The sequence below is a fragment of the Homo sapiens genome, chromosome 1, assembly GCF_000001405.40.
Source record: "Homo sapiens chromosome 1, GRCh38.p14 Primary Assembly".
Taxonomy (NCBI): domain Eukaryota; kingdom Metazoa; phylum Chordata; class Mammalia; order Primates; family Hominidae; genus Homo; species Homo sapiens.
Window position 1 is genome coordinate 176513774 of NC_000001.11, and position 23805 is coordinate 176537578.

Below are 23805 nucleotides of genomic sequence, written 5' to 3' on the forward strand. Positions count from 1 at the left end.
TACATCCTCTGTTAGATAGCAGTTTGAATCTTGGTGGAAGCTCAAGAGGGGGAAGAAAATGCATTTTAGGTATCTGTCTAGGACTCAGTTAAAGGCAGACAGCTGAAGCGAGCATGCTGTCCGAGGAGTCATGACTGTAACCACTTTCTTCAAAGAGCATCATCCATCCACATGCACCACAAAGGGCTCTCATACATGCCATCTCAACATGAATGAGGGATGGAGGCTTATTACCACAATTTTATGGATGACTATTTCAGAGAGACAACAAGATACTCCCTGTGTTTGTCTGTTTTGCATTGCTGTAAAAGAATATCTGAGACTGGGTAATTTATAAAGAAAAAATGTTTAATTGGCTCACAGTTCTGCAGAAGGTACAAGAAGCATAGTGCCAGCATCTACTTCTGGTGAGGCCTCAGGATGCTTACAATCATGGTGGAAGGTAAATGGGGAGCTGGCACATCATATAGTGAGAGAGGGAGCAAGAGAGAGGAGGCGGTGTCAGACTCCTTTAAACAACAGCTCCTTTAAACAGCTCCCATGGGAACTAACAGAGAGGGAACCCACTAGTTACCATGGGGAGGGCACCAAGCCATTCATAAGGGATCTGCCCCATGACCCAAGCACCTCCCACCAGGCTCCACCTCCAACACTGGGGATCAAATTTCAACGTGGATTTGGAAGGGACACACATCCAAACCACATCACTCCTGGATCCCCCGGACCTTAACCCACGTCTGCCTCTGCAGTCTTTCCCTTCACCACATGGATTTGACTTAAGTCAAAACCTCAGTGGAGCAATCTCTTGGGCTTTCAATCATTTTGACTCAACCCTTGTTTCACTGCAGCCTAGGCTCATCACTGACAATAACATTTTGACAAATTATACGACTTAAAAAACGAGGTGTAGACTTATTTATCCATAGCATTCTTCATGGGATGAATCTGTTTCAAGGAAATTTTGACTTTGAATCAAATTTTAGGCATGCCTAGGACTAAAAGGAGGCTCAGCAGAAATGCGATGACAAAGCCCATGGATTACAGAAAGCCTCTCCGGCTTGTGCATATCTCTGGTAGAGTTTGCCCATTCCAGACTGGCCTTGCTGTTCAGGCATTTTCCTCCATTCCATCAAGATTATTCTTATTCAGTGTTTACATCTCTATCGAGCTCCTAGTGTATATTAAGCATTGAGGAAGAGATCACAGTGAATACGTTGGCCTCTGGAGTCCAAATACCTTGCTGCTAATCTTGCTTTGTTAGTTGTATATTAATGGGCAAGATATTCACAATATTCACTAGACTAGTTTTAACATCAGTAAAACTGGGAGAATTAAAATATATACCTCCTAAGAGTAATGAGAGTGCCAATAAAACACTGAGTGCAATATTTGGCACTTGGAAAGTCTTCAATAACTGTTAGCAAATATCATCATTATCACTGGTGGAGAGGGACTTGCAAATGTTAATAGAGCAGGACACAAAATAAAGAGTCATTATTTCTGACCAGGCTAACGGGAATGGCTTCCCATAAAGAGAGACACTTGAACTGCACTGGAGGATGAGTGGGAGTTTGATAGCCAGGAACTGTAAAAGGGCATTCTGGTTGGATGGGTCAGCAATACAGTCCCCATATGATCTCATCCAGGAGGATTGTGATCACCCAGACTTTTTAAAAATAAAGAGCCTGAAGCTCACAATGGGAGCAACCACAGTGGAAGGACAATTAAGCTGCAGCCTGTTCACGGGCTTCCTGCCAAACCTAAACAGATTTCTCAGACCAGTGACTCATCAACAAGACAAACTACATGTACCTGTTGCATCAATCCGGTGCTTTCTGTTTATTTTTATCTTGTCCCTGTGACCCCTCTTTGCTCCATTGTTAATACCCACTGCACTGGGCGAGGCTGGCTTTGAGATGCAGTAAGCTTCATTTTGGCTTTTTTTTTCACTTGTGCATTTTCCAGCCAAAAGAGAGTGAGTTCCTTACCACTCCATCTTCCTTTCTTCTTTCTAGAGAAATGTTCACTATGCCATGAAGTAGCTGTCACTTATGCACTCCATTCCTTGGTGTGGAAGACATTTCCCTCTTGCTGGGATAAATAAGTGGAATTGATATTTACTGAGTCTTGCACTAGGCACTTGAAGACTCTCATTTAGTCCCCACAACAGTTCTCGGAAGGAGGTATTACTAGCCCATTTTATGGATGAGACTAAAAGTGGTGGAGTAAACTTGGCCAAAGTCAACTAGCCTAAATGTGAGATAGTTTGCTTGGTGACTTTCTCTAGTGGCTCTTGTTCTCATCACAGGACAACATGTTCTCAAGACACCCACAATTGGGAAGAGCAACTGTGTAGGGGAAGTAGAGCCCCCAAACCATTTCCTCCTTCTTTTAATTCAGATCTCCCCCAAGCTCAAGTCCATGGTTGTTGAGTGTCTCACCACAAATGCTGCTAAGATTCCCTTTTCTGTCCTCGGAGTCAAATGAAGAGAGTTTAATTCTTTTTTTTTTTTTTTGTGACAGGCCTTCATATACCTGAAGAAAGTTTAATTTGAATACCTCATTCTCATCATTTACCATCCTCCCCACTCCCCCATCCCCTGCCTTAATATTTCCTTTTTAAGGCAAAACAGTTTCCATTTAGAAGCAAAGAAAGGTAAGTGACTGCTAAGATTTGAATGTTTGTGCCCCTCCAAAATCCATGTTGAAACTTAACTCCCAATGCAATACTATTCAAAGGTGGGGCCTTTAGGAGGTGATTGGGTTATAAGTGCTCTGCCCTTATGAATGATATCAGTGCCCTTATAAAAGAGCTTGAGGGAACGAATTCTGTTCTTCCATCCCTTCTGCCATATGAGGACATAGTGTTTTTTCCTTCTTGGGGACCACATCAACAAGGCACCATCTTGGAAGCAAAGAGCAAGCCCTTACCATACACCAAAACTATAAGAAAGTCCAGAACTACGAGAAATAAGTTTCTGTTGTTTTCAAATTATCCAGTCTGTAGTAATTTGTTGGACCAGTGGGAATGCACTAAGACAGTGGCCATGTGTCTATCTCTGGAAATCTGATTGGTTCTCAAAGATCCTATGTAGGTGAATCACATTCATTTGTGTGGATAGTTTTTCTCAGCTATGGTCACTGCCATTTTCAGCTTTATTTCTCTTAAAAATGTCTGTTATCTGGTTCTCCAAGTTTCTGTTCTGTGATTTCCAGCATGAATGAAACTTAGGAAAACTCTTAAAAATTAGTAAAATTTCAATGTGACCAATTTAACCTACAATTCCTATCTGTTCTATTCCTACCATATTTATAGAGACTCTTCCTTGACCTTCCGCAAAAACCAGGAAAAAATTTCCGTTAGTAAAATGAGCTTTTTCATTAAAAAGCCAGCACTGCAATGGTATTTCCCCCTTTCTTTTCCTGCCTGCCTTGCTTTGACTGGTGGGATTAATTGGGTCTTGATCAATCTGCTAAAAGACAGCAAATCGGGAATGGCAGGTGGAAGGAGGAAAGCATGAATATTAATTAGCTAAGATTCCAAACAGAAGCCTTTTAATTATATTAAAATGCACAGGCCTGCAGGCAGTGAGATAGTTCCTGCTGTAAATCTGTCGACAGGCCATTACCTCAGCAACGTCAATGTCTTTTAATAAATGAATATATACATTTCAAGTGGGGGAGAGAAAAATACTTTGGTGTTTATAAATATTAAAAAGGAAACTATCAATGTGAGGAGATACCCATGACAGCTCTTCTCAGGCAGGAGGTGTTTAGGGAAGGCAGTGAGTCATCCCAGGCTGTGAAACCAAAGCCTGTGGCTAATATGGGGACTGATGCAATTAAAAACAGGTGACTGTGAGGCAGGGCAAGATAGAGGCTCAGCTTTTCTGTAGGTCAGTGAGTCAGGCATTTAAGAAAGTTGCATTGACTTTTCACCTCACTTTGGAATCACTCACCACCGGAAACAAGGCAGTCAGGCGCCTTTCATTGGTACTCCTCACATGAAGACAGCATTTAAAGGTCGAAGGGTGACTGGCCACCTTCGACATGGCAGAAGGAAACCATAAAATGAGAAGAGCTCAGAATTCCAGGGCAATAAAGAAAGGAAATTTTTGAAAGCAGGTTTCAGTAGTTCTAGAGTTGCCTTGAAAATATCCATGGAAGAGGACCTCAGGAAGAACCAGAAAGTTAATGAGAAGGAAAGGCCAGTCATGGATTACTAGACTCAAAGGGCTCGAATAGAACTTAGTGACCAACTGTCTAACCCCCTTCATTTTAGAGAGCTTGAAACAGGCCAAGGTGGGAGGATTGGTAGGGAAATTCTATTTATCTGCTTACCTACATATCTACCTACCTACTTACCTATTCGTCTGTTCATGTACTACTTCTTTCTATAAAGCCTTTGAGGCCTCCCACAGGTCTCTGACTCACAATCTGGAGAACTTTCTAGGACTTCTTGCCACCCTCCTAACTTTAAATAAGAATACATTTGAGGAAATTAGGAATACCTCATGCTGTGTAGACCTTATGTAATCATGAAAGCATCCACGTCCCAAGCCAGAATAGTTCAACCCAAATGCGAAGAGTTGATAAAGTCCATTCTGATAAACTGGAATGTCCAGAAGGACTTCAGTGCCTTTATGGAGTTACCTGTAATTGTGGAAAGCTTGACAGGTAAAAAAAAAAAAAAAAACAAACAAACTTACCAGAAGACACCCTGAAACTTTCAGGCCTTTAAGTTTGACTTGGTGGGTTTGAAAGGAAGCTAAACAGAAAATAATGCCTTTAAGTGCAGTTAAAAATAATACTATGCATTTGAAATCCAATCAAGGGTCCTTATTTTGAAAAGTTGTTTTTGTTTTTTAAGGCTAAACTCAGGAACCATCTGCATTTAGCATATTCCTGAACATGAGCCCACATGTGTGTGGAAGTGTGCATGTAAAGTGTTGGTGAAAACAAATCATATCTTGGTCCCATCAGGCTGTGAGACTGCATTCCCAGAATGGACATACATCTCACAAAAATCTGCCTTAGGCTCAATAGGAATTCAGGAGAGAATGTGGATGACTTTGCAAGAGGTACCTCTTACTGGAAAAGCAACTTAAAGGGCACTTAAAAAAAAACAGTAGAAAAGTACTACTGCTATATCAGAATGAGGTAAATGTTCACATATGTCGTTCTAGAGAGTGGAGACCAGGCAGACTTAAAATGTCTGAGATGTACTTAACTTACAATCATGACTATAAGACATACTAATATAATTTATTTGGTAACATGGAGGAAAATGAGGAAGATGGTAAAAGTCACACAGAGTATGGTAAATATCCTTGCAGTTCAATTCAATATGGCCTCAATACCTTCCATGTGCCAGACATGACATTAGAATCTAATTTTGCAAAATAGAGTAAGACATAATCCTGCTCTTTATCAGCCAACTCTTCTCACAAGTCACATGAACAGGTAACTTCAATACCATGGTCAAGTGCAGTAGTAGTAGTGTGCACAGGGAATAAATGAGCACAGAAGAGCTACACTCGGCCCTCCCTGTAGGGCTGCGGGAGACTCCTGGAGACTACAGAGTCTGAGAATGAGTTGAATAGGTGAGGAGGTGGGGCTGGTGGAAGTGAAGGAGGCAGGGAGGGGAGAGAGCATGACCTTTAGACCTAACAGCAATACCAAAGGTATGCTTTTCCCAGTGTATATCATTTTTCTCATTAGGGAAATGCCTATTTTGCTGTTCTTGCTTCAGATGAAGGTCCAGGGTCATCTAAACTAGAAATTTCTCCGTCCATGCCATGAAGGCAGGAAAAACTAATAAAACATAATATTATATATGCATTGTCCCGAGTTGCTCATTTTTGGAAGACTTGGCTGCTGGTAATCCCCAGGAAGTAGAAACAACATGACTGCCTATCACCTGTCCACATAATTAATCACAACTAATCAATAGAAGCCAAGATATGGTGATTTATCACAAACCCTCCACATTTGCTGGTAGTATTTTTTCCATTTTTTCCTTTTTAATATTCTTAACCAGACAGTGAAGTTGAAAGTTGGTAGTTGGCTGGGAGCTATAGTAAAAAGAAACCCTTGGCATTGTTCCTTTGGTTGTTATCAAGTACTCTTCTACTTGACTGTGTTTCTTCTATAAGGTGAGCAAGGAGCAGAGAAGTTAGCACTGAGAAGCTTGGACTGGGAAAAGCTGTACCTTATCTTTGGCTCAATTTGTTTAATCAGGGACAGTCCTTGGGGCAAAGTCTTAGAAGTTGGCTCAGGTCAGAATTTTGGCTGCACAGAGAGGGGACAAGAAGAAGGTCATCCCTTTGTAGCATTACCAGTTTTGTCTTACTCTAGACAAGGAACAAAGTGGGAATAAGAAAAGTTACATTTCTATTCTTCCTCCTTGTCCAACTCTGCCTCTTGCTTCTCCCCTCTCCACTCCTCACTCCTGCTAGTCTTGGATCCACATACAAGGCTGGTTAGAGACTGTACCATGCTGGAGATTTGTTTCTGGTCAAAAATGTTCACCCTCTTAGCTTCTCAGAACTACCAGAAAATTCTTGAACTACCCCAATTCAGTTGGGTTTGGAAACCTGACTTACTGGAAGTCTTTCTAATGTCATCCAGGTTCTGACAGTTAAGCCACACTTTCAGAGAGCAGAATTATTGAGGTAGAAATAGATTTGGGGAACTTCCAGTGATACATGGCTATCACCAACATTGAAGATCCTGTCATCTCTGTGTCAGTGTTGGATCAGTAGCAGAGACATTTCATAGTTAACACTTATAAAAGATGGAATGTGCAGATCTTTCTGATTAAGGTGAACTCATGTTTTTTGGGTAAGCTAATGACATAAAAGTTTCAAGAAGACATGCAAACTTTGTGATAATTGAGCTGGTTGCAGAGTAAGTGTGAGTGACTGAAAAGCAAGGGAGTTAGGGGAGAAGAAGACTGCTTGGTGGGGAAAGACTGATTTAGTGGACTGGTCTTGCAACCAGCCTCTCCTGGAATTGTTTCTAAGGCTTAAGGACCTGCCAAATGTAATAGGCCAAGTGAGTTGGGCACAGTAGCGTGTGCTTGTAGTCTCAGCTACTCGGGAGACTGAAGCAGGAGGATCACCTGAGCCCAGGGGTTTAAGGCCATCCTGGGTAACATAGCAAGACTCCTTTTCTAAATAAAAAAATAAAATAAAAAAGAGAAATAGACCTAGTGGTTCTCGTAAGACTTTCTCTTTGCAAGAGCTTGAAAGTAGAGGGATGCTCTGAGGATTGATGTAAGAAAGCATAACACTGGAGTGTGTGTGTGTGTGTGTGTGTGTCAGAAAGAGAGACAGAGACAGAGAGAGAGAGAGAGAGAGTAGGGCGGTGTAGTGGATTAAAGATAACTACAACTTTTATTTTCCTTTTATTTTTTCCATTCTTCCCATTAAGAAGCAAAGTTTATTTTCCTTCCTCTTGGACTTCGCCAATATAATGTAGCAGAGGTGATGCTATGTAACTTTTGAGTCCAAGTCTTCAGAAATATACAGCTTCTGCTTTCACCTTTCATGGAATGCTCCTTCTTGGAACTCAGCAACCACCCTGTGAGGAAGCCCAAGAAACCACATGGTGAGACCCATTAGCAGGAAACCAAGTCTCCTAGCAGCACCCCACATTAACTGTCAGCCACAGTGAATGAGGCCATTTTGATCTTCCAGTTATCCCACTGCCCTACCTACACCACATGAAGCAGAAGAAATGCTCAGTCAACCCAAGAATCATGAGAAATAAGAAGTTGTGTTTTAAACCACTCAGTTTTGAGGTAGCTTGTTATATAATAACAGATAATCAAAACCTCTGGAATTCCCATATTTTGGAGGGAATAGTTTAACTGACGTGCAGCTTTGGCAAGGGAATGGCAGGACAGCCACCAGCTTATTACACCTGTGGTAAGAGGCAGGCACCCTCACAAGGCAACAAGGGAAGGGGGGAAAGTGATGACCACCAAGTGGTGGCAGATAGTCCTTATACTAGAATGCATGAGGAATGCCTTCGAGAAACTTCTAGAAAGATTTGGGGGGACTTTGATGAGACTGAAGGTGAGATTTAGAGTGCACAATAATGAGAAGGCATGAACGAGAGAACCCCAGCCTGTGCTGGTTTTCATGTTAGTATTGTAATCCTGATATTATCTAGGGCCTCCCTCTCCTTGATATCTGATAAGTCTTGCACATCCTGTGGAAGACTCCCCAACATTACTATGAATTTCTAGGGGAACTATTTCCCTCTTGTTAGACCTAGATCCAAACTCTGGCTTCCTCCATCTGTGGAAAGTCTCACTGTTTCTTTTATGCTGTTTCTGTTTCACTTAAAATCAACCTGAACACAGCATTTAAACATTCCTTTTATTTTTACAATTTCTACTCATAAAAGCAATCTTTGTGACTAACAGACTAATAAGAAATTTGAGGGTATAAGAAGAACATTCAAACTTGTAGCAATATGGACTTCAAATTGAAATTGAGACTATCCTCATTCTTCAAATGCCTTTGGTTGCCATGCTGGGGGAGATTTTTCCAAGTGACAACTCTGTAAGTACTGCCTGAGCCTCATTCTATGTCATGGTTCCTCTCTCTCCCTTCCATCTTTCAGTAGAAAAAACTCCTTTCATTTTCTCATATAGAACAGCTATCTGCTTATTATGCTCAACGCTTTACCCTTCATCCTAAGCAGCTTGTCTAGGTATGTTAGTCCATAAAGACAGTTGTCCCCCAAGAGACAATTACGATGTCAGTTGTTATAGTAATAAAATCAGTCTTCCACTCTCTGCCCTACTCAAATCACTGCAGTTTCCTGCAAGGGTGCCCAGTGCTGTTCTCTCTCTCTCTGAGTGTTAGGCAAGAGGAAAAGCAAACATAATAAACCTGGGCTTCACCTGACTCATTGCCATGCCTCTTGCTTCTTGCTCTTAGATGGGGGAGATGATGTCCTGGTAGGTGCCCTTTAGGGTGTTGTTTCTTTCTAACTCTTCCACTTTGTGTAGACGAAGAGGGAAGAGTTTCTGCAACTTCCAACACAGAGGATCTGCCACCCCACATCAGCCTTCTCTGCTAGACTGGGGGACATCAGAGGATCCTTGTGGCCTTTGGCAAACGAGGGGCATGGGTGGGCATTTCTCAGGATCAAACACAGCAACTTCTTAGCTTGACATGAAGGATCCACTTTTATTGTGCTGGATTCATCAGGCAAGGTTTCCCCTGATACACCAGATAAATATGACTTCTTGGTATGCCTGTTTACATGTGCGCTTGCTTCTCTGTGGGCAGGGTGGGCTGAATCTCTAGCCTAGCTTTCAGGGGCACCTCAACCAAACCAAATCAAACAGTTTTGTTCTTGGTGAGCTATTGAGTAGGCTGATGAGTTCTAGCATCTTTTTGTGAAGTCTGCACATGTCTGAGGTATAACTGCTGCTATATCTGATACCAGCCTTTTCCCACTTTCCCTACCTCCACTTTCTCCTCCCAATTTCCCAAGAAGTCTGTTCTCTAATCTGGCATGGAAAGAACTATTCCCTTGGATGGTAGCTAAATTTCCCCTAATTCTTCCACTGGTCACATTTAAAATGCCCAGAGACTGTCAGATTATCTCTGGTTTCTGAAAGTAAGACTGTGTCAAGCTTGAGCCTCTCTTCACAGGTTAAGCCTGATTCATCACCAGCTCAACATTATTTGTCTTCTTTGGGAGATGCTGACACTTGGGAAATTTCTGACAGAAATGATCTGTGCTCACAACTTTTGAGTTTAATTTTTTTAAACAATTTTTCTAAGTGACTACCAGAGATAGTGAGTGGTCTCTTTCATTTGGAAATTCATTTATTCATTCATTAAATTTTTATTTTTTTGCCATGACTCTGTAGTAGACATTCGAGGAAGTCAAATATGAATAAGACATGGGGCTCCTTGTTAAAAGAGCTTATGATTCAGTAGAAGAAATAAAACAATTATACCTACCCCATTTAGCAAAGTTGATGCCCCTGTGGAAATGGGAGCTGTAACTGAATCAGAGACATAAGGATTACTTATGGCATAGTCCCTGTAGAATTACATCCCCACTTTTGTACCTTGGCAAATGGCTCTTCTCTTCCCTCCAGATTCTCTGAAGTTGTGAACTGCAGTGTTCCTTCAGCCTCATTCATACAATTGATTGCCACCCTGTTAGGTGACCGTGATGTTTTAGACCCTGTAATATATCAAAGAACTCCCACCAGTCTCTACTTTCCCTCTCTGTCTTCTCATCCATGGCCATTTCCTTGAAGAATTTTCAAGCTGCTCTAAAACTTACCTTTTAACATTCAGCATGGCACTCTTGCATTTCTTTGCAGCACTGTCGTTTTCAGACTTTTTTTTTCAGTCATTATGGCTTAAAACTGTTGTCTATAAACACATGGCATATAGCAGATCTGATGTAATAAGCCATATACGCTGCAGAGTGCACTCAGCTCAGGCTAGCATGGCAGCACCTCCTCTGGCAGGGAGAATTTGCAATATGGTGCCATGACAATGTCCAAGAATGCTGGAATCTGGCTGCTCTGTTGGCTTTCATGGGCCAGCCCTCAGGTCATGGGAAAGAGAGCTATATGAGTAGCACATTTTAATGAATTTTTTTCTTAAATTTTCAAAGAAAACAGCATTATAACAACTCAACACTACAAGGAAGATGATGTTAAAATAAATATGCAAAAATAGGATAGTGACCTCAAATAAAACAATATTATAGAATACTATTATTTTTGGCTCTGATGATTGGGAAAGACTTCCTGAAGGAGGAAGGCTTTGGTATGACACTATCTTCTTTTAATGAATAATGAGACTGTTCAGCATGGGGTAAAGAAGTTTTTTTCTAGGTAAATAAGGTGTGATTAAGAGAGCAGAAGTCTGGTTCTTTCTTATGGAGCTGCATTTGCTCCTCATAAAATGTTACAGCCTTGGTCGGGCGCGGTGGCTTACGCCTGTAATCCCAGCACTTTGGGAGGCCCTGGCGGGCGGATCATGAGGTCAGGAGATCGAGACCATCCTGGCTAACACGATGAAACCCCGTCTCTACTAAAAAAATACAAAAAAAACAAAATAAAATAAAATTAGTCGGGCGTGATGGCGGGCGCCTGTAGTCCCAGCTACTCGGGAGGCTGAGACAGGAGAATAGCGTGAATCTGGGAGGCGGAGCTTGCAGTGAGCCGAGTTCGCGCCACTGCACTCCAGCCTGGCCTACAGAAGGAGACTCCGTCTCAAAAAAAAAAAGTTACAGCCTTAAAATTTTAGGAGCATTATACAGGACACTTTAAGGAAGCAAGCTGTGGCTGTAGGTTTTCTTTCTTGAAATATAGGAACTATCTCTTACTTATATTTATATTCCTAGACCCTAGTACGGTTGCTGGCAAACGGCACAATCATAACTTGCTGATGGATTGGCTGAATGAATAGATGAATCAATCACTCAGTTGAGCAAGACTCTTCTGGTTTCTGACCAGTTCCATATCTTCATTTCAAGCATTTATCTGTGAAGTTTAAAGTGCCTATACTCACAATTGGTGCATTTGCTTGTGTAGTTCATCACTTCAGAAGGTGTGATACATTAGGATATAATGTGATACATTAGGATACATTAGGATATAATTACAAAGAAGTTAAACAGGAATGTCAAAAAGATGTTCAGGATTTCTTTCAGTACCTTAGGATAGTGGCTCCTAATGAGGTTAATGGAAAAATGCCGGTATGACTACCTTAGAATCACCTGGAGAACATTAAAAAAAATCCAGATTTCTGGGCCCCACTTCCACTGTAATTTTGAAAATTTCCTCAGACAATTCTGATATACAGACAGGTTTGAAAAACACTACCTTAATCTTTAAAATACAACTGAAATTTCAAAATTCCTAGTTACTGGAAATTTTCTAGAAATCAATCATGTGGCAGAGGCCCATTGAGGGTACAGCCAGGTCGCTTTTGAGAGGGAAGTCTGGGTCCCTCTGAAAGTTACACTTCTTGCTGCAGGTATTCACCTGGTTCTTCCACTAACAGTGTATTTCTTGCGTGTTCAATCTCTCTGAATGGTTTTAGGTAATCCTCTACTTTGGAATTTTGAACCAGTTCTAGTTTTAGGTGATCTTCCCTGTTCTTCTCCTGAGTAGAGGTGGGCTGCTAGGATCTGTATTTTACGATGAAGCTCCATGCTTATGGAGGTTATAAAAGCTGCCCAGTGACCTGAAGCTCTTGAGGCCATGTTTGCCTCACTATACCCTGTTGCCTCTCCTTGGTGACTGCTGACTGAGGGCTTACAATAACTCTGAAGCTGTTTATGGATTCCTCTACTCCTTGCAACAACCCTGAAAAGAAAATGGTCTCTGGAGTCCTCCATTTTGTGGATAGAGTGTTCCAAGAGTTGACCATCTCCAGGAGATTGCTGCTATGTAAATGCTGGGGCCATTGCCGGCTGTGGAAAAGACTGCTTTGTATCCACTAAACCCATTGCTGTTTCTCATGACCACACAGCTACCCTATGTTTCCCAGCATCCCTTGCAGTTAGGTGTGACCATGTGACAGAGTTGTGGCCAGTGGAATATGGGCAAAACTGGTATGTTCCACTTCCAAGTTTAGCACTTTAAGAAGCTCCAGTGTAATCCTTTGGGCTTGTTCTCTTTTGCCATCTGTAGGCTGAATGCAGCAAAGGAAAAAGCCCTAGAAGATGACAGTACCACATGGAAGGAGAGCTACTGTGGAGGGAGCTGGGTCTCTGAATGATTGTGTGGACCCTCAGTAGATGATCTTGTGGGGAGAAAACCTTTTACTGAGTTAAGACACTGAGGTTTCGGGGTGATTTGCTACAGCAGAGAGCTTCCCCTGACTAATAAAGCTGCCCTCCCCTTGTTCCACACCTCTGCAACTGTAATGACAATTTTTGATCTGAGATCCCTAAGCCAGTGGGCAAAAGGAAGAGGTCTTTCACAGGAGCTACTAGGAGAGTGACATGGCACAGGGCTTGAGGTTGGAAGAAATGAATTCAAGTCTCACTTTCTGCCTAATTGTGTGACATAAACTAAATGCTTGTCCCGCCAGAGATTCTTCCCCTGTGAAATGGGAATAATATGAGATAACATATGTAAAGGTATCTGGCAATGGTGCTCAATACAACTTTTTATTTTTACTTTTTAATTTGTTTTTATTAAACTTCTTTTTGTAGAGATGGGGTCTCATTATGTTGCCCAGGCTGTGCTGTACTTGAACTCCTGGGCTCAAGCAATTCTCCTGCCTTGGCCTCCTGAAGTGCTAGGATTACAGGCATGAGCCACTATGCGTGTCTTGAATAAAACTATTTAAACCTAAAGAGTCTTTAGAAATGCAGCAAAAGTTTAGCAGAGGTGAAAGATATTGTATCGAAGAAGAACAGGTTGTAGCTTCAAATAGCAAGTCCAGAAAGCCAGTGGATGCCACCACAGCCATATTGTGCAGAGTCCTATGTGACAGGCTCTATAGTGAGGGCTTAACCTGCATTATCACATTTGACCCAATGACAACTCTGTGAGGTATGTGTTATCATCTCCACACTGGAGATGAGGAAATTAAGGCTCATCAAGTGTAAGTTTGTAGGTGGATAATTTTTTGAGATGTTTCTTCCTACTTCTGTCTTGCTTCAGGATAAAGATAGATAGAATGTAAGTTCCATGAGGAGAGAGCTATTGTCTGTCTTTTTCTCCCTGTATGCCAAGCATCTATCACAGGGCCTGGCACAGAGTATATGCTCACTGCATATGTTTTGGGCTGAATGATTGGTTAATATCTCAGAAGAATAAAAGAGCTATTTGTTCCTTTGGTTTTGCCCCCACACTCTATTCCTCTCACCTGCAGGTAGAATGGCTAAGCCTATATATTCAGATTTCTAGACCCCTGTGTCCCTAGTGTTATTTGATGACTGTTTTAGAGCCAAAAAGAAGTTTCCATTCAGAAGAAACCCTCCACCAAGACTGGTGCTTTGATTTAAAGGGGCAGAACTGGCACTGAGAGATAGGAGGGTAGAAGCAAGTCCATTGAAGGCTGGCAGCTCTGCCCAGCTCCCTGACAGACCTCTGTGCGGGAACAGAGCTTCTGATGGAGTAGATGTGAGAGCCATTGGTTTGGTGGACATTGAATGCCAGGCATGGCCAACTCATTTCAACTTGTCCTGGACTTTTCTGGTTTTAAAACCCAAAGTCCTGCATCATGGAAACCCCTTTAGTCCTGGGTAAACCATGACAGTTGGCCACTCTACTGCCATATCTGAGGATTTATAGTGAAAGAGCATCATGCCAAGCTTGGCATTCAAATGGACCCTGCATTCAAATGGGCTGCATTCAATTGGACTGCATTTGAATGGTTCTGCATTCAAATGGACCCTGAGGGCTCCGACATTAAGAACTCAAGTGGTCCAAGATAGACTGAAGAGCAGAAGCCCTTCCTCATAGTCTGGTGACTATACTCTCCTGAGATTTTTGAACTTTCCTATGGAGGGCAGCTCATCCCCTGATCCCCTTACACATGATAGAGAATACATTTCTTGCTTTCTTTTGGAGATCCAGAGCTAGATTTAATTTGACTTGAAGAAAGAGGCAATGTGATGTTTCTTATACCTAAGGAGGTGAGCAAATTCATATCAGCTTCAAAAGACTTGCCCAAAGGCCCACAGCTAAATAATAGAACTACCATTTGAATACAGGTGTGTCTGGCCCAAATGTTGGTTTCTTTCCCTTAGGAGGCATAGTGGCCCCAAACACTGAATGAGAAGTAATTTGTCCATTCAAGTGGACTTTTAGATATGCAATCATTCACAATTCTGTCTTTTGTTGTTTCATCTGATTGATTTGATTTACATACGGCACCAATTTCCCTTCCCTCCAGTCCAAATTTCTTAGTCTCACATTCAAGACTTCCCTGGTTTCAGCCCTAACCTATCTTCTCTCAGGTCTACAGTCCATGATTTCTTCCACATACCTTTTCCTTCTCCAAGCAAGGCTACTTCATGCTTCCCCCACCATGTGTGTCTACTTTGCCATGCCTTCTCCCTGGAATGCCCTTTCCTCCAACCTACCTTATCAAGACGCTGCCATCCTTCAAATCCTCGTGAAGCCTTCCTTGATCCTTCCCTTTTATGATTCCCTGCAGTTAAAAGCACCTTGCATCCAGTTATTGCCACAATAGCTTGTCTTGCTTATTGGATTCCAAGTTACTTGTGGGCAGGAAGCAGACCATGCATTTTATTTTGTAGCCTCCAAAATAACCTAGCATAGCAATCTGCACAGAATAGACACTTTATAAATATTTGTTGAAATGCAGTGGAAGAATTAAGGAGAAAAGGAAGTCTTTAGATTTTCCCTAGAGTGTGACTCAGAACTGGGACAAAAGCTAATTTGGTGAAGTGCATTTGAGGAAAATCAGGTGGGAAAAAAAGAGACGATAGAAATAGAGGTGAGAGAGTGCAGCCAGCAGCCCATTTCTGAGTGTCCCTGAAAGTCTCAGAACGAGCCAGAAACTGATCTCTCTGACCTTTATCCAAGTGTTGGAACACATTGCCCTGTGGTTTGAAAGCCCACTCTGAAGCTCTCCTTCCAGCCTTTAGTAAACTAAGGGAGGCAGACAATTAGGGGAATGCTTTGGATCTGATCTCCTGGCTGCCGATTTCACCGAGATCCACACTTTGAAGTACTGGGGATGTCAGTTACATAAGGTTATATGGCATTTTCTTCTATGCTGGGGCAAGGGGAGGAGGAGGGAAGGAGAGCACCTATTAGCTCAAGAGAGCTACTGCACAAGCTGGTGCTCAGCAAGAGCCCAGTGCTGCCTTCCCTTGCCACACACACATCTCTTCCAAATGTGCCCTGACGTTGCATTCTCCATCCCAAACAGGACACCTGGAGAAAAATGATTTTGTGGCTAGCTCTGTTTTCAATACCGTGGAACGTTTGGCAGCATGGTGATCCATCACCAGCTTTTTTTTTTTAAACCTTCAAGATGGCCACTTGCCTTTTTTATCAGCAAGTTTGCATGCGTTTTGCTACTTACTGTCTCTTGAGGCCAAGTTTTTTTCCCCCTGATTTTTTGCCATCTGTGCCATATTTTTAAAGAGTTTTTCTCCTCTAATCCCTTCTTTGATGCCAGGAGAAGCAATACCAATGGACTGGAGATATTCCAAAGCTTAATGTACAGGGACCAGCTAAAAACCTCAACAACATTACTTCACACACATTCTCTCTCTTTCGTTTTTGCAAGTGGGCATGTGATAGGGGCCACAAGAGAAGATAAATAAAGCTCACAATTCAACAGGGCTGGCAGGCTACCTGCTCTTGAAACATAAATCAGGAGGCCCAGGGTCCTGGCTGCTGCCTACAGTCCCAGGGAGACATGATTTTCCCAGTCATTTGGAATGGCCAAACCTACAAGTCACAATTTCAAGGAAGACAGGTTAAAACCTCACATTTTCCTTGGGCTTTGACCTTTGGCTAAAGTCAGGAGCTATGAACTCTGTGAAGCTTAAGACTCATCTACTTTTTAAGAAAACTTAGAAGACTGCTTTAACCCACACAGTTACTCAATGGGACAGGAACAGTGAGGAACACAAGCAAGGGCCAAGCCAATTAGAAATCGATTAATTAATTAAAAAGAAAAAAACAACTCCAGAAGTCAGCATCCCATCCTCTAGAGATCCTGGCTTACTTTGTGCCTAGAGAACACTTGGTAACTATTGTCCATTTTTAGGTCTTGTTAAATCAAAAATAAAGCAATCCATCTTCAGTAAGTTTGTAGAAATATATTCATCTCATGCAAAAAAAAAAAATCTGTAGAACTCTTCTTTTCCCCTTAAATTATGTGGTAGAAAGAAGCTGAGACTAAGAAACAGCAACATCCACCAAATAGCTCTGTGGTCTTGGAAAAATCATTTAAAGTCTCTGGATCTTCACTTTTCAATTGATAAATTACATGAGTTGGAAAAATGACATAATTCTATATTAGGGGCATACATTTCATGGAGTTCCCTTAGAGATGGGGGTTGAATTGGTATGGAAAATAGGGTCTGAACACTGGAACCCAAATTTGATAAGACTAAGGAAATTTATGCATTTTTTCTTTTCTTTTTATCCCTACATTTGTACATTTCTACTTCTTGCTTCCAACTGGGAGAATCAATTCTATGACCACATGAAAGTCTCATTAAGCACAATATCTCAGGCCACTTTGGTAGTTCATAAAAGACAACCAAAGTTTTAGTTCTGTCTACATGAGGCTACCAGGCCAAACTGGAACTGAATGTTCTAATTTGTATTGAATTATTTGCCAAGCAAATATGGAGCTCTTTTGATGTAAACAGGAGTGTTCACACCAACACAGTTTCTAGCAGCAGGCAGGCAAGCCAGATCCAACTTGGATTCTGCCTGTTTCCAGTAGCTCTTCATTAATGTTGATGTAAGTCAGTCCAGCTTGCTCCTGTGGGATGTTCAAGGTTCACCATCATTGGTTTTCAGTGTATTGTATCAAAGTCCAAGGCTGTGGGACACACGACTTCCTGAACAAGGCTGGGATCTGAGAAAAGGCTCTGTCTGGGCGCTAGGGTGTATAGAATGCTTATACCATGACATAAAGATGGCCATAATCCTGGAATTATATTCTGAGAATTAATCAATATTTACTGAGAACCTATCCTAGGTGCTGGGATAGCACTGATGACTTTCTGGATGTAGTATTTGTCTGTTTCAAGTTTTCCCATAGTGTCTAGATTTTCAATCAATTTTATCAAGCAAACCGGCCACTGTTCCACCTTCATGAAGAACAGTAACTGAGATGGTTTCCTTTCTAGCATTTGTGGCAACTCCTTACAAGGACATGCTGAGGTCACTGTTGAACAAGCAACTGATATCTGACTTTGGTTAGGGGGTCTAGATGTCAGTATTTCTCTTTACACAGATCCCCAGGATTCTCTTCCCAACTGAAGTGGGAATGGTAAACAGATCAGTTAAAAAATTTAAAAGACACAAATATAAAATGAAACGAGTACTCTTTAGTATTTTATAGCACTCATACTGAATGTTCACTGGCTCTCTGGCACATGTGGGCACTGACTGACAGTTGGTGTTAATGATAGCACATCCATTTCTTGGGAACTGGGCTTCCTAGAGGCCTCCTGTGTAAGGGCTGCCTGGGGCTCAAGAACTGGCCCTGACATTTTGGCAGTGGTGCTGAAGAAAAGCTGTCTCTCACTCCGAGGTTTTTCAGTCCATAAACCAGCAGCAATTTGGTTGTGGAAGACCCCGGCAGAAATAACAAGAGAAAATTGAAAACACATAAGCACATTTGCCGGGTTTAATAGCCCTGCTCCCTCTCTCTACCTCCGGTACCTTAGGCATAAATTGCTGACCTCTATTTAATTTTCTGAACTGCAAGAATTATGGGCCCAAAGTTCAGTGAATTGGAAGAGGTAAGCTTTTATGCCTCTGAGCCAGCTTCCCCATAAGCATTAAATCTACAAATAAAAGCAACATTTCTATTTATACTTCCTGGGGTTTGTGTATTAGGGAAGCCAAGCACGTCCCTGCAGCTCTGCGAAGGTGACTGCATGGTCAAATCTGCGTCCAGGTAATGTGACGGAGCTTTCCCATCTGGGCCAGAGGAAACAACCAAAGCAGATGGACAAGAGATATTAAAAATAACACACGCAATTTCATTCGGAAAAAGGCACCTGCTTAAACAGTGTTTGTTTGATTCTCCTTCTGGCCGTGGGTAACAAATGTGTGCCAGGGGAAGTCTTACGTGTATACCCTTCCTGGGTACTCACCTTTAATCACAACAAGGGCCAAAAGGCAACCCAGCTTCCTGTCCCCACATGGTGTGGGTCAACGCAGCATCACTCTCTCACTTCAGACGCAGTAAGGGTGTGATTCTGGCTGCTTCCAGGCATGCCTGACACTCACACAGCCACGTCATGTCATGTTTTTTATGTGGCCTGACCTGACTTTGTTCTCGGCTCCCTAGATCCACCTCTGCCTCTGTGTCTGTCTCCATCTCTGATGCTCAGCATCAGTATAATCACTCAATTCCACACACACCTATTGCCCACCCCCTGTGGGCACCCTGCACTAGGCTTCCAGCCCCCCTGCTCACTCTAGATTTGCCCATGGCAATCTTGTGGGTGGTTCACAGTGAGGCACATCAGGATTGTTGAGGTTTCTATTTGATTCCTCTCTGCAGCCCCTCTGCCCTTCCTCAGGGTCATTCTTTGCTTGCTTTGTAACTCAAAACTTTCCCTTATTCCTGTCAAAGCTTTGGTTTTCTACTCCTTTCCTCCTGCCTGTGTCCTGCAAAACAAATTCTGAACATGGTGTAGGTAAGCCTATGAGCCTCCCTCTTCAGGGGTGAACTTTGCACATTGCCAGAGGCTTTCTGGAAATAACACCTCAATCCAAAGGTGTGAGTCAAATGCTAAGAATTTTAGGCACCTTGGCAGAGTGTTGAAGAAATTATTTTGGGAGCAAGTACATGGTTCTGCTTGAAATATTCCCTGTGACTCTGTCCATAGATTCTGCCTTGGCAAAGGACTAGGTCACGGTCACCATCACCATAAGCCATTTTATTGAAGCTGAGCCCATAGTGCTGGACAACTGAAAGGTCTTCAGCTACTGCTGAGATACTAAGATAAGTGTTTTGTTTCTTCAGACCACTCCTTCTGGATCTATTTGTTATTCAACTGTAGTGCTATTTAAATTACTTTTCTTTGACCAACTAGCTGGAGGCGTGAGGATGTTTTGTACCTCCTCCCTGCCACTTCTACAGCCATGGTTATACCTTCATAAACACTCGTCACCTAAAACTTCCTTCTACATGGATTCTGCCTTTGCCTACAGCAGCATTTCTCAATCTTGAATGTACCTATCACTTGAAGAGCTTGTGAAAATGCAAATTCTAATTCAGTGGAATGGCCCTCGATTCAGCAATTTTAACAAGCTGTCAGGTGATGCTGATGGTGCTGCTCTCTGGACCACACTTTGAACAGAAAGGGTGTAGGCCTATGCTGTCCAACAGAGCAGCCACTAGCTGCACGTAGCTATTGAGTTCTTGAAATGCTGCTAGTCTGAACAGAGACTTGCCATAGTGTAAAATACACACCAGATTTTGCAGACTTAGCTCATATAAAAGAATGTAAACTGTCTCATTAATCATTTTTAAATGTTGACTTACATTTTGAAATGATAATATTTTGGATATACGTATTTGATTATACAAAATTTTTATATAATGTTTCTTTTTACTTCTTCTAAAATATGGCTAATAGAAAATTTAAAATTATACAAAGGGCTATTATTGGATAGCACTGATCTGGAGAACCGTACCCACAGGAAGCAGTAGGGAAAAGTAGCTTCTGTCAGAATTATCCCATGTTCTGGTACCTCCTAGCATTTCTCCCCTGTCACCCCAGGATATTGGATTCCCATTAGCTCCCTGCCTGTTTTTCCCAGGTTCTAATGTTAGAGTCTGAGTTGACTGCTAATTTCTCTGTGTTCTCTGGGCCCAGCCTACTCATTTGCTTCTATTCCAGTCCCGACCTCTCTCAGTATCCATGATCCCTAGCTTCCCACAGCCTCAGCAAGACAGTGGTTAAAATCTGCCCAGATTGGAAGAGCAATTCTGGCTGCCTAGAACAGGAAAAGAATGTATTGTAAGGATCGGCTGCCTTTAGATAAGAAAGAGGTAAGAAAATAATGAACACATTTGAAGATATTTGATAACAGATAGAATAGGCTCACAACTAGGAGGGAATCATCTTACTTAGGACTGCTAACTACAAGAAAGCCAATATCAACATGAGCTGTGGCTAGTCTGAATGGAGTATATGAGAGGTGTGTGCTTGAGAGAAGCAATGCGGTTTATCTCTGAGAGTAGCAAGAGTTCCAGATTCAGAGCAGCTTTCTCATGGGTATCCATTTCTAATGGAGACTCCTAAAACTTTGTGAATCATGTGCTTCAACTGGAAGTATATAGAGATGTGGCTTTGAGGGTATCTTGAAAGAAGAATGAAGGAGAAGAAGGAAGGTTAGCAAACAGTTGGAATAGAGATGCTTAGCTCTGGGAATCCTGCTTGAACTACACTCAAATCCTTTGCAAATTGCTGAATGTCTTGCTTACTGGGGTGCGAGAGGATCCAAAATTACTCTTCCCTGTGTTCCTTGTGCTCTGGTTCCCATCAGGAATTAGAGAACCAGAGGGAGACTGTAGAAGGTTGCAATACAAAATAGAGAGTGCCAAGGAATGAATCAGCTTCCTACAGGGTGGAGAAAAATGGGAAGAAGGAAGCAAAAAAGAGGTAAAGGATAAAAGAATAAAATGTGCGAAAAAAGTGTCCTCAGAAGAAAGGGGCATGTTCTCTTCTCCTTTCTTCCTTACTGCTGGCTAGAATGTGGATGTGATAGCTGGAGCTCTAGTAGCCATGTTGCACTATGAGGCAGAAGCATGTGTTGAGGTTGTAGAGCAAAAAGAGAGAGGGAACCCAGATTCCAGATGACTGGGAAGCCCATACCCACCCTATTTTGCTAACCTCTAGATTTCATTTTTGTAAGAGCGGAATTCGACATTTTCTACCACACTTTCTCTACTACTTTTTTGAGTTTGCTCTCCTTTACAGATAACTAACTGTACTGATAACAGAGACATAATACACAAATAGCTTGGGAAAAGGAGTGTGGTATCCTAAAGGCACATGAGAGATGTGGGGGCCAGTATTCTGGTTTCTTCTGAGAACAGGTTTTTACAGGAGACAGAGAGCAGAAGAGCACCAGGCCAGAGGAAGAGGGTGCAGTGTGGGGCCAGAGAAGCAGTATCTATAGCAGCTATGAGAATGGGATCAGACAGACCTAGTTCTAATCTCAGTGATATCACATACTAGCCATGTGGGCTTGGAAAAGTTTGTGTCACTTCTCTAGTCCTCTAGTTTTCTCATGTATATATTGGGGCTAAGAGTAATTCTTGCCTTTCATATTTTTGTGAGGAATATATGAGATATTGCACAAATAGTGCTTATCATAGGGCCTGGCACAGAGTAAGTGCTGCCTGTCACTATGTGAAAGTGAAGGCAGGAAGCCCCAGGACATGTTCCACTTTGTGCCTTCGATTTTGATGGTCTCCTGACAAGTGCTTTTTTAGAACCTCACACTGTAACGTCCCAGGGAAAACATACATGGCTAGCATCTCAGCTGATGGAAGAAGCTCTCTGCTCCTCACTAATTAAGCTAATTAACAATTCATCATAACAGCCTGTGAGGTTCCCCTGTCACGGGTATCTCTACTCACAAAAAAATAATAGCATCATTAGCAACAACCTGTCAGGAAAACAAGGCACAAAGTTCTGAGGAAGCAGTCACTTACTTGCTTTGTCTAATGTTTTCTTTTCTCTCTCTGGAAAGAATAACAAGTTGTGAGAAAGATATTTTGCCCTGGACTGCTAGGTAGGGTCCGGGTGAGCTTTTCTGCACTCCTCTTAAAAGTAATGACTGTAATAATAATGACAGTAACAACATTGATGCTGAACAACATGTTCAGTTATCTGTTGCCACAATCATGCTACATAACAATCTTATACAAAACCTCACTGACACACATGGTATAGATTTATTTAGCTCATGAGTCTGTGGGGTTTAGGTGATCTGACTTGGCTGACCTTGGCTAGACTAGTTCATGCTTCCAAGGTTGGCTGCAGGTTGGCTGAGTGGCTCTGCTGATCTAGGTTAGATTTGGTTACCTGTGTGGGCATTGGCTAGATCTAGAAAGGCCTCAACTGGGATGACCAGGAGCACTCCTTACTGTTCCATGGTTCTCATTCTCCAGCAGGTTAACCTGGGCATCTTCTCAAGACCATGGCAAAGCAGCAAGAGAAAGCATGCCCAATCTTGCATGCACTTTTCAAGCATCTGCTTGGTCACATTTGCTAACATCCCACTGACCAAGCCCAGAGTCCGAGTGGGAGGGCATAGCAAAGTCCAATCCAGGAAAGAGTAAAGAATTGGAACCATGAAGCAATACACCACAAATGGCATTGGATATGTAGGCTCTACACGGGCACTGTGCTAAGCTCTTGTCACATATTATCTCATTTAATCAGTTCATAACCCTATGAGAGAGGTACAATTATCATTCTGATTTTGAGAATGAGGCCTGAGGCTTAGGGCATAGACATAGCATTTGGTAGAGTTCTGTGTGAACCTTAGTTATTTAATTCCAGAGCCCATGCATTCAGCCTTCATAACATACTTTCTCCATTCATGGCCCCATTGAGGTAGACCAGATATTTTCCTAGAGATTTGTTTTCTAAAGGAAACTTTCTTTATAGATTCTCCTAGACCTGGCTAATAATGAAGGGTAAGCATGTTGTTGAAATAATTTTGTACTCTAATTGCTCCTTTGCTCTGAGTATACATGGTATGGATTTAATTCTGTTCCCCAGGGCTGACTCAATGGACACCCACTGGTTGCTCCCCAGCCCTACTCCTCTCAAGGCAGTGGACAAGGCTCACGTGTTAGAAAGTGAAGGTACTGAAATGTCATCATCTATGCTGTACCATCTTGCAACTCTGTATCCAATGCTTTCTAATTAGTCCCTTAAGACTTTAGTTCCTTTCACGCCAATTCATCTGGCATGTATTTTAAATGGGTCCTCTGAAGACAACAGATGCTCAATAAATTCTATACTCTGACATGTTTTAAAATTCCTACACATGTGCCTGGCGCATCAAAGAAGGTGTACAGAATGGAATAGACC

General features: G+C 42.1%; 1 protein-coding gene across 6 annotated transcripts in view; it reads left to right on the forward strand.

The window, feature by feature from the left end:
* Positions 1–23805, forward strand: part of PAPPA2 (pappalysin 2) — a 382427-nt gene that overhangs the window by 50599 nt on the left and 308023 nt on the right. The window contains exons 2-3 of one of the 6 annotated variants that reach the window (XM_047427180.1): positions 2524–2656; positions 23491–23576. The exons of 3 other annotated variants lie outside the window; for them this stretch is intronic. The gene's annotated coding sequence lies outside the window, so the exon portion shown is untranslated. The remainder of the gene's footprint in view (positions 1–2523; positions 2657–23490; positions 23577–23805) is intronic. 2 more of the 6 variants (XM_017002024.2, XM_017002023.2) reach the window with 2 other exon arrangements.